Consider the following 12,065-nt stretch of genomic DNA (forward strand, 5'->3'; position numbering starts at 1 on the left):
CGACTTTGGAACTGGGTAACAGGCAGAGGTTGGAACAGTTTGAAGGGCTCAGAAGAAGGCAGGAAAATGTGGGAAAGTTTTGAGCTTCCTAGAGACTTGTTGAATAGCTTTGACAAAAATTCTGATAGTGATATGAACAATAAGGTCTAGGTTGAGGTCTCAGATGGAGATGAAGAACTTGTCAGGAACTGGGGCAAAGGTGACTCTTGTTATGTTTTAGCAAGGAGACTGGTAGCATTTTGCCCCTGCCCTAGAGATCTGTGGAACTTTGAACTTGAGAGAGATGATTTAGGGTATCTAGTGGAAGAAGTTTCTAAGCAGCAAAGCATTCAAGAGGTGACTTGGGTGCTGTTAAAGGCATTCAGTTTTATAAGGAAAGCAGAGCATAAAAGTTTGGGAAATTTGCAACTTACAATGTGGTAGAAAAGAAAATCCCATTTTCTAAGGAGAAATTCAAGCTGGCTGCAGAAATTTGCATAAGTAACAAGGAGCTTAATGTTAATCTCCAAGACAATGGGGAAAAATGTCTCCAGGGCATGTCAGAGGTCTTCACGGCAGCCCCTCCAATCACAAGCCTGGAGGCCTAGAAAGGAAAAATGGTTTTGTGAGCCAGGCCCAGGGTTCCTGTGCTGTGTGCAGCCCAGGGACTTGGTGCCCTGTGTCGCAGCCACTCTGGCTGTGGCTGAAAGGGGTCACCATAGAGCTCGTGCTGTGGCTTCAGAGTGTGCAAGCCCCAAGCCTTGGCAGCTTCCACGTGGTGTTGAGCCTGCAAAAAGACAGAAGTCAAGAATTGGGGTTTGGGAACCTCTGCCTAGATTTCAGATGATGTATGAAAATGCCTGAATGCCCAGGCAGAAGTTTGCTGCAGGGGCGGTACCCTCATGGAGAACCCCTGCTAGGGCAGTGCAGAAGGGAAATGTGGGATCAGAGCCTCCACACAGAGTCCCTACTGGGGCATCACCTAGTAGGTGTGAGAAAAGGACCACTGTCCTCCAGACCCCAGAATGGTAGATCCATTGACAGCTTGTACCAGACATTCAACAGCAGCCCATGAAAGCAGCCGGGAGGTTCTGTACCTGGCAAAGCCACAGGAGTGGAGCTGCCCAAGACCCTGGAAACCCACCTCTTGCATCAGTGTGATCGGATTGTGAGACATGGAGCCAAAGGAGCTTTTGGAGCTTCAAGATTTGACTGCCTCGCTGGATTTCAGACTTGCATGGGGCCTGTAGCCCCTTTGTTTTGGCCATTTTTTCCCATTTGGAATGGCTCTATTTACCCAATGCATGTACCCCCATTGTATCTAGGAAGTAACTAACTTGCTTTTGATTTTGCAGACTCATTAAGTGGAAGGGATTTGCCTTGTCTCAGATGAGACTTTGGACTGTGGACTTTTGAGTTAATGCTGAAATGAGTTAAGACTTTGGGGGACTGTCGGGAAGGCATGATTGGTTTTGCAGTGTCAGGACATGAGATTTGGGAGGGGCCAGGGGCAAAAGGATATGGTTTGACTGCGTCCCCACCCAAATCTCATCTTCAGTTCCCACATGTTGTGGGAGGGACCTGGTGGGAGGTAATAGAAACATGTGGGCAGGTCTTTCCCATGCTGTTCTCCTGATAATGAATGAGTCGCATGAGATTTGATGGTATCATAAGGGGGAGTTTCCCTGAACAAGCTCTCTCTTTGCCTGTTGCCATATATGTAAGATGTGACTTGCTACTCCTTACCATGATTGTGAGGCCTCCCCAGCCACATGGAACTGGAGGTCCATTAAATCCTTTCCTATATAAATTACCCAGTCTCAGGTATATCTTTATTAGCAGCATGAAAATGGACTAATATAGCTGGATGTAAAATTCTGGGTTGACATTTCCACTCCACCCTAGTGCTGTAAAGATGTTGCTCCACTGTCTTCTTGTTTGCATTGTTTCAGATAAGCTGCTCTCATGCTTTTCTTTGTTTCTCTGCATATAATGTGTCTTTTTTTTTTTCTTTGACTGTTTTTTTAAAGATTTTTACATTTATCATTGGTTTTTGGCAGTTTTATTATAGTGTACTTGTTGTACTTGTCTTTGTGATTCTTGTGTATGAGGTTTGTTGAGCCTCTGAGATCTGCAAATTTGTAAATTTTATCAATTTTTAAATATTTTGGTCTATTATTTCTTTATTATTTCTGAATATCCCTTTTCATCCTTGAGAGAAACAATTACATGTATATTAGTCTGCTTAATATTGTCACAAGCTCACTGATGCTCTTTGTATTTACTTAAATGTTTTCGTCTATGTGTTTCATTTTGTAAAGTTTCTACTGCTGTGCCTTCAGGTTCACGAATCTTTTTAGAAATAATTTCAACTTTTATTTTGGATATAGGGAGTACAAGTACAGCTTTGTTATATGAGTATATTGCATGATGCTGAGGTTTGGGGTACAAATATCATCACCCAGTTGGTGAGCCTAGTACCCAGCAGGTAGTTTTTCAACCTGCATCCCCCTCCTTCCCTCTCTCCTTTAGTAGTCCACAGTAGCTATTATTCCCATCTTTCTATCCATGAGCACCCAATGTTTAGCTCCCATTTGTAAGTGAGAACATGTAATATTTGGTTTTCTGAATTCCTGCATTAATTCACTTAGGACTATGGCCTCCAGCTGCATCTATGTTGCTGCAAAATACATGATTTTATTCTTTTTATGGCTGTGTAGTATTCCATGGTGTACATGTATCTCATTTCCTTTATCCAATTCACCATTGTTGGGCACCTAGATTGATTCCAAGTCTTTGCTATTGTGAATAGTACTGTGATGAACATATGAGTGTATGTGTCTTTTGGTAGAAAGACTTATTTCCTTTTGAGTATATACCCAGAAATGGGATTGCTGGGTCAAATGTGAGCTGTTTTAAGTTTTTTGAGAAATTTCCAAACTGCTTTCCACAGTAGCTGAACTGATTTACATTCCCACTTACAGCATGTAAGTGTTCCTTTTGCTCCATAGCCTCAACAGCATCTGTTATTATTTGACTTTTCAATAATAGCCATTCTCATAGGTGTAAAATGGTATCTCATTGTGGTTTTGATTTGCATTTTTCTGATATTTAGTGATGTGGAGCATGTTTTCATACGTCTGTTGGCCACTTGTATGTCTGCTTTATGTTTCATTGTTTTACTACTGTTCTTTGTGGAGCAGGGCTAACTCATAGGCAGTGTGCCCAGAGTCAGCCTGCACCTTCTTTTGAGAAGTGTCTGTTCATGTCCTTTGCCCACTTTTTAATGAGGTTATTTGTTTTTTGCTCGTTCCGTTGTTTAAGTTCCTTATAGATTCTGGATATTAGACTTTAGTCAGATGCATAGTTTGTGATATTTTCTCTGTATGTTGTCTGTTTACTCTGTTAACAATTTCTTTTGTTGTATGGAAGTTCTTTAGTTTAATTAGTTCCTACTTGTCAATTTTTGTTCTCACTGAAATTGCTTTTGGGAACTCAGCCAAAAATTCCTTGCCAGGAATGATGTCAAGAAAGGCATTTCCTGGATGAATTAAATATTTCCAAGGTGAATTAAATCTTTAATTAATCTTGAGTTAATTTTTGTATATGGTGAAAGGTAGGGGTCCAGTTTCATTCTTCTGCAATGGTTAGCCAGCTGTCTCAGCACCATTTGTTGAATAGTCTTTTTCCCACTGCTTGTTTTTGTCAGCTTTGTTGAAAATCAGATGGTTGTAGTTGTATAGCTTTATTTCTGGTTTCTCAATTCTGTTCTGTTGGTCTATATGTCTGTTTTTGTACCACTATCATGCTGTTTTGCTTCTTGTAGCCTTATAGTATAGTTTGGATTCAGGTAGTGTGATGCCTCCAGCTTTGTTCTTTTGTTCAGAATTGCTTTGGCTATTTGGGCTGTTTTGCTTCCATATTTTAGATAATTTTAGAATAGTTTTTTCTAATTCTGTGAAAAATGTTGTTAGTCATTTCATAGAAATATCATTGAATCTATAAATTGATTTGGGCAGTATGGCCATTTTAACAATATTGATTCTTCCAATCCATTATCATGGAATGTTTTTCCATTTATTTGTGTCATCTCTGATTTTTTCAGCAGCATTTTGTAGTCCTCCTTGCAGGAATCTTTCATCTCCTAGGTTAACTGTATTCCTAGATATTTGAATTTTTTGGTGGCTATTGTCAATGGAACTGTATACCTGATTTGACTCTCAGCTTGAATGTTGTTGGTATATAGAAATGCTACTGAATTTTGTACATTGATTTTATATCCTGAAACTTCACTAAAGTTGTTTACCAGTTCTAGGAGCCTTTTGGCAGAATTTTTTGGGTTTTCTAGGTATATAATTGTATTGTTAGCCAGGAAAGATAGTTTGACTTCCTCTCTTCCTATTTGAATGGCTTTAATTTCTTCTGTTGCCTGATTGCTCTGGCTAGGACTTCCAGTACTATGTTGAATAGGAGTGGTGAGAACAGGCATCCTTGCCTTGTTACTGTTGTCAAGAGGAATAGTTACAGCTTTTGCCCCTTTAGTATGATATTGGCTATAGGTCTGTCATAGATGGCTCTTATTATTTTGAGGTATGTTCCTTTGATGCCTAGTCTGCTGAGGACTTTTATCATGAAAGGATGTTGCATTTTATTGAAAGCTTTTTCTGCACCTATTGAGATGATCATATGGTTTTGCTTTTAATTCTGTTATACAACCAATAATTGGTTCTTCAAAAGAATAAACAAGATTAATAGACTGCTAGCCAGATTAACAATGAAAAAAGAGAAGATCCAAATAAGTTCAACCAGAAATGACAAAGAAGACATTAGAAACCATCCAACAGAAATACAAAAGCTCCTCAGAGACTATAATGAACAACTCTATGCACACAAATTAGAAAATCTAGAGAAAATGCATAAATTCCTGGGAATACACAGTCTCCCCAGATTAAACCAGGAAAAACATGAAAACCTTAACAAACCAACAAATAGTTCCAGAATTGAATCAGAAAAAAATAACCTACCAAGCAACAAAAGCCCTGGGCCTGATGGATTCACAGCCAAATTTTACTAGATGTACAAAGAAAAAAATTGTACCAATCACATTGAAATAATTCCCAAAAAACTGAGGAAGAGGGTCTCCTCCCTAATTCATTCTATGCCCACCAGAATCTGTCTGATACCAAAATCTGGCAGAGACATACCAAAAAGAAAAAAAAAATCCGGCCAGTATTCCTGATAAGCACACACAAAAATCCTCAAAAAATACTAGAAAACTGAATCCCACAGCACATCAAAAAGTTAATACACGATGATCAAGGAGGAGAAATGATACGATGATCATTTCTGGGATGCAAGGCTGGTTCAATATATGCAAATCAATAAATGTGACTCACTAATCTTTTCTTCTGCAAAGTTTAATTTGGTATTAATCCCATCCAGTATATTTTAAATATCAAAGCTTGTAATTTTTATTCCTAGTAGTTCAATCTGGATCCTTTTTATATCTTCCGATAACTTTTTAAACCTACGGTGGAAAACAATTAAAATATCTTTTTAAAAGTCATTAACTGCTAATTTTAACATCTTTGTCATTTCTGTAACAGTTTTGATTGCATTTTCTCTGACAGAGATTATATTTTCCTACTTCTTTGCATGCCTGGTAACTTTTTATTAGATGCCAGAGATTGATATTTTTACCTTTTTGGAAGCTTGACATCTTTGTATTCTTATCAATATTCTTGAGTTTTATTCTGGGATACAGTTAAATTACTTGGAAACAGTTTGATCCTTTTAGGTCTTGCTTTTAAGATTATTAGACAGGGCCAGATTGGTGTTTAGTTTAGAACTAATTATCCCCAACAATTCAGGCAAGATCCTCCAGTACTCTAATCCCCAGAGAATTACGGGGTTCTGTAGTCTGGCTGGTGGGAACAAGCCCTGTGTGTGTACACCAGGCACTGTTACCTCTAATGCTTTAGGATGCTCTTTTTTGGGTCTTACATAGTGTTTTCACACTCATGCATTAATGTGTTGAATACCTGGAGGAGGAACCTCTGTAGGTATTCAGGTTTCTGTGTTTGTATAGCTCTCCCCTCTTACATAGTCTGCACTGCAGTCTCAAATCACATTGGTCTTCCCAGATTCATGGCTATTTTTCATCAACTTGGGAGTCTGTCACACTCTGCCTAGGTTTCTTCTCATAAGGTGGTAAGCTTGGGCAATCATAGGCTCATCTCATTTCTTTTCTGTCTCTCAAGGATCAATGTCCCTTTAATGCCTGACATCCGGTGTCTTAAAAAGCATTGATTTATGTATTTTTGTCCAGTTTTTTAGTTGTTTCAGGAGGAAAGTAAATCCAGTCCCAATTTTGCTAAATTGGCAAGAAGCAGAATTTCTCTATTATGTAGTTTAGTCTGTTAAAAAAATTCACAAGAAAAAAGCAATCTCTGAAAACTGATACAAATCTCATAATTAGACATAATTATAATGCTATAATCACACAGAAAATAATTATTCCAAGTCACTTTAGAGCACACAATTTTGTCTGTATATCTCTATTAGTTATGTATTTTAAGGACACATATAGATACAAGAAAATCTTAGACTTTATTTAGAAGTGTAATTTTTAATGATAATAGTTGTAATATTATTTTAATCTAATTATCTATATTATAACATAATATAAATAAGATGTTATATTGGCCGGGTGTGGTGGCTCATGTCTGTAATCCCAGCACTTTGGGAGGCCAAGGCGGGTGGATCATGAGGTCAGGAGATTGAGACCATCCTGTCTAACACAGTGAAACCCCATCTCTACTAAAATTACAAAAAATTAGCTGGGCTTGGTGGCGGGCGCCTGTAGTCCCAGCTACTCAGGAGGCTGAGGCAGGAGAATCGCTGAACCCGGGAGGCAGAGCTTGCAGTGAGCCAAGATCGCACCACGGCACTCCAGCCTGGGCAACAGAGCGAGACTCCATATCCAAAAGAAAAAAAAAAAAAAGATGTTATATTAATGTGATTAGGAATAAAAATTTTCAACATAAGAGCAAAGAAATCTATAACTCCAAAAGAAGTATATTTTATAATATTTACTTAGAAATGAAAATGTTAATTAAAAAACTTCATAATTTATTTTCTTTTCAAAAGTACTTATTTCCTGGTTTTGTCTATTGAAGAAGCCTAGAAGAAATGACAACCTTAAGGTAATTAACATACTAAGGGCAAAGATTTTTGAATTCTAAATATAATTTTCTACTAAAAAAACCAAGACTCCTTAGAAAAATGGCTGGTCCCACCAGATTTGGCCAGTTAAAATACAAGATGAGACTAGGACCTCTTATTGTGTCCAAAGCAAAAAGACTTATAGTTATGTGTCCGGAATTGGTGGGTTCTTGGTCTCATTGACTTCCAGAATGAAGCCGCGGACCCTCAAGGTGAGTGTTACAGCTCTTAAGGTGGTGCGTCTGGAGTTTGTTCCTTCTGATGTTCGGATGTATTCAGAGTTTCTTCCTTCTGGTGGGTTCATGGTCTTGCTGGCTCAAGAGTGAAGCTGCAGACCTTCGCGGTGAGTGTTACAGCTCTTAAGGCAGTGCGTCTGGAGTTGTTCCTTCCTCCCGGTGGGCTCGTGGTCTCGCTGGCTTCAGGAGTGAAGCTGCAGACCTTCGTGGTGAGTGTTACAGCTCATAAAAGCAGTGTGGACCCAAAGAGTGAGCAGTAGCAAGATTTATTGCAAAGAGCAAAAGAACAAAGCTTCCACAGTGTGGAAGGAGACCCGAGTGGGTTGCCACTGCTGGCTGGGGCAGCCTGCTGTTATTCTCTTTTCTGGCCCCACCCACATCCTGCTGATTGGTAGAGCCGAGTGGCCTGTTTTGACAGGGCGCTGATTGGTGCATTTACAATCCCTGAGCTAGATACAAAGGTTCTCCACGTCCCCATCAGATTAGTTAGATACAGAGTATGGACACAAAGGTTCTCCACGGCCCCACCAGAGCAGCTAGATACAGAGTGTCGATTGGTGCACTCACAAACCCTGAGCTAGACACAGGGTGCTGATTGGTGTGTTTACAAACCTTGAGCTAGATACAGAGTGCCGATTGGTGTATTTACAATTCCTGAGCTAGACATAAAGATTCTCCACGTCCCCACCAGACTCAGGAGCCCAGCTGGCTTCACCCAGTGGATCCCGCACCGGGGCTGCAGGTGGAGCTGCCCGCCAGTCCTTCGCCGTGTGCTCGCACTCCTCAGCCCTTAGGTGGTCGATGGGACTGGGCGCCCTGGAGCAGGGGGTGGCACTCGTCGGGGAGACTCGGGCCGCACAGGAGCCCATGGAGGGGGTGGGAGGCTCAGGCATGGCGGGCTGCAGGTCCCGAGCCCTGCCCCGCGGGAAGGCAGCTAAGGCCGGGTGAGAAACCGAGCACAGCGCCGGTGGGCCGGCACTGCTGGGGGACCCAGTACACCCTCCGCAGCCGCTGGCCCGGTTGCTAAGCCCCTCATTGCCCGGGGCCGGCAGGGCCGGCCGGCTGCTCCAAGTGCGGGGCCCGCCAAGCCCACGCCCACCTAGAACTCCAGTTGGCCCGCAAGCGCCGCGCACGGCCCGGGTTCCCGCTCGCGCCTCTCCCTCCACACCTCCCTGCAAGCTGAGGGAGCTGGCTCTGGCCTTGGCCAGCCTAGAAGGGGGCTCCCACAGTGCAGCGGTGGGCTGAAGTGTTCCTCAAGTGCCGCCAAAGTGGGAGCCCAGGCAGAGGAGGCGCGGAGAGCAAGCAAGGGCTGTGAGGACTGCCGGCACGCTGTCACCTCTCAGTTAGTGATGGGCTATTTGAAAAATAAATCTTGGGTGGGCCTCTCATTGGTCAAAAATGGAATAGTTTGAGCATCAGTAATGAATACAATTGTAACACAATCACTGCCCAACCCTGTGAGTTCATAAAGAAAAACAGAATGAAAGCAAAAATTTTGAAACCACTCACAGAGCTTAATTGTACACCAATGAGAATCAAATGGAGTACCAACTCTTTACTCTGAAAACGAACACCTACAAGAAAAGAATGATCATTTATCCCACTTTTCTTCATAAACTGTAGTTCTAAATAGCTAATAGAGGGTAAGGTCTTTTTCACGGGAATCTTCCAGCTAGCTCTTAATCCTATACTTGCTGAAACCAGAGAGCACATATGAAAATTAAGATTATGCTACTCGTTGTCAAAGGCATTAATGTAAATGTGGGCAGAATAAAACCAGATGGAAGTTTTTACCTGATTATTCTTATGTAAATGTCATATGTTAAGATTCTCTTTATCAAGAGGAAAATCTAACTATGACACTATGACAAACAGGCAAGGCCTTTTAAACCTAAGAATCTGATTTCTTTATGCTATAGTAACCATTTATGGGTAATTGTGCTGGCTGGGTCTGCTTTATCAGCACGTCAGTGGAGAAGACAGATGATGGTGCACTTTATCACATCAAAAAGCAAAACTTATTTGGAGATCATGAGCAAATCTATACTTTTCCCCATGGGTTTACGGCCATGATGGCCCCAGGCGGGGATGAGAACCAAAGAAGATGATGTGTGCGTGCACGTGGCACAAGTAAGATAAATGGGAAAGAGTAAATAGTAGAAATATTATTTGAATATAACTCAACCATATTTTGAGAAATTCTGCTAGAAATTCTGCATGAAATAAAAACCAGACATGAAAAGAATTAATGAGGTAAAATTTTTTAAAGATTAGAAGGATCAAAACATCAAATAAAAGGCCTTTTCTAGAAACTTTCTTAAGGCAATATATTACAGAATTTTCAGCACAGGAATTTGGGGAGGCCAACTGAGGACTAGCTATGTGACTAGTTTGGGCATGTTACTTAACTTTTCTGGGCATCAGTTTTCTCATCTATGACATAGGGTCATCAATTGCGTCTATAACATAGGGTTGTTATTAAATGAGTTGATGTATATATGTACTTTTTTATTTTTTATTTTACTTTAAGTTCTGGGATACATGTGCAGAACGTACAGGTTTGTTACATAGGTATACATGTGCCATGGTGGTTTGCTGCACTTATCAACCCATCATCTAGGTTTTAAGCCCCATATGCATTAGGTATTTGTCCTAATGCTCTCCCTCCCCTTGACCTCCACCCCCCGACAGGCCCTGGTGTGTGATATTCCCCTCCCTGTGTCCATGTGTCCTCATTGTTCAACTCTGACTTATGAGTGAGAACATGAGGTATTTGGTTTTCTGTTCCTGTGTTAGTTTGCTGAGAATGATGGCTTCCAGCTTCATCCATGTCCCTGCAAAGAACATGAACGCATTCTTTTTTATGGCTGCATAGTATTCCATGGTGTATATGTGCCACATTTTATTTATCCAGTCTATGTTTATTGCAGCACTATTTACAATAGCAAAGACTTGGAATCAAGCCAAATGCCCATCGATGTATATATGTACTTTAAAAAGACTATCCCATATTAAGCTTCTGCAAATGTTAACTGCATTCATTTCTTTGACTTAAGGTTTTGCATAAGCCTAACAACTTACAGATATATCAAGGTAAATCAACACATTACCCATTCATGCTGTACTGGCAAACTGAGTCTCTGAGAGTGAGGAGAAGGTCACTTGAAAGAGAAAAGGGTGAGGGAAAGGATAACTGGGGTATGCAGGGAAAGGGTAAAATTGGGGGTGCTTTAAAGACAGGTGGTGTTTGTTTTAGTGTTAAAAACAAAAATGGCCTTCTTTGTAATGCTGATAGCACACCTAGTTTTCGGTTTTATAAGACACTCTATTCAGTGGCAACATCAGTGATGAACAGGAGACACAGTTCCTGGTTGTTAGATTATTGCTCAGATAATTGGAATAAAGAAGACCTCATTCTGTATTACTCATCAGTGGGTCTTACTTTTTTTTGTGTTTCAAAATTACTCCGTTGTGTGCCTCTCCTTTTCTGAGAAAAAGATCAAGTCACCTTTAATGCTGCATTTCCTATTTAATTTGTTGCTTGCTCTCCTCTTCCCTTATTCGCTTCCTAGAGTATAACCAAATGCAAGATTTCATTCTTTGATGTTTTCATGTTGAACAATTGGAATCATGGAATTTCTTCAAGAAAGGACTGCTGAAGCACGATAGGTATCGTTGATCTTAACGATGATCTTAATGAAGAGCTTTGATAGTTCTGAATAAGACGTTATTGAACAGAAATGAGAGCTTATAGATGGAGGGGGCAGGAAACCATGTCAGCTTCAATAAGAACAGATGGCATATTATTTAGATAAGCACAATCTGTCCTATCTACAGTCCCTGATGGCTTGCCATCAAGGAACTCTAAGGATTGTTGGATATCATCACAAGACTAATAGCTGCCATTTTTAAGAATTCTTTGTTTGATGCCGTATGCCAAGGAGATATGATAATGCTTCTTTCTTTTTTCTTAAAGCAAGGGAAAGAGAACCCAAATAATTACTGGCTAATAATTTCTAGACTGAAAAGACACTGTAATAAATCATTCAGAAATCAGTTTGAAGACATCTACAGAACAGGTCACTGGCATTGTTACAAACAGATCTAGACTGATTTAACAGAATCCTTCTATCATAGAATGGCAGGGTGCTGGATTAAGGAGAAAAATGGATATAATGTATCTTGAGTTCAGCAAGGTATAGTTCCTGGCTCATATGACATACTCGTTAATAATCTTGGCATGATATTCTCCATCAATGTTCTCCTTGCTGTGCTCCGACACTGGTTTCTCTTGGTCCCTGTAGCTCTTCTGGGTGTTTCATTTCTGTATTCATGAAGCTAGACGTTGGGGTCTAAGAATGTCTTACACTTGATCAAGCTGTGTCCTCGTTGGGAGAGTTTTGTTTTAATTCCTCAGACAATGACATTTTATCCTACTTCCACACTCTCACACAAAAGTCACTAAATTTGCTCTTTCTGAATGCTTCACTGTTTCCTGTGCGGTCCTGCAGCTTTGTTTAGACTTATCTACTCAATTAGAGACCCATACACTGTTCACTATATCAACTGTTTAAAAATCGTACCATCTGTAAGAAAATAATTAATGTGTCAGTTTTAGTTAGTGGC

The 12,065-nt window shown here is 40.4% G+C and overlaps 2 long non-coding RNA genes across 3 annotated transcripts in view; one reads left to right on the forward strand and one right to left on the reverse strand.

Annotated features, from left to right (window-relative positions):
* The window catches only part of LOC105378072 (uncharacterized), a 91,283-nt gene that overhangs the window by 65,197 nt on the left and 14,021 nt on the right, over window positions 1-12,065 (forward strand). The window lies entirely within an intron of this gene.
* Window positions 1-12,065, reverse strand: part of LOC101928923 (uncharacterized) — a 487,547-nt gene that overhangs the window by 49,813 nt on the left and 425,669 nt on the right. The window lies entirely within an intron of this gene.

Source organism: Homo sapiens, chromosome 6 (genome assembly GCF_000001405.40).
Source record: "Homo sapiens chromosome 6, GRCh38.p14 Primary Assembly".
Taxonomy (NCBI): Eukaryota; Metazoa; Chordata; class Mammalia; order Primates; family Hominidae; genus Homo; species Homo sapiens.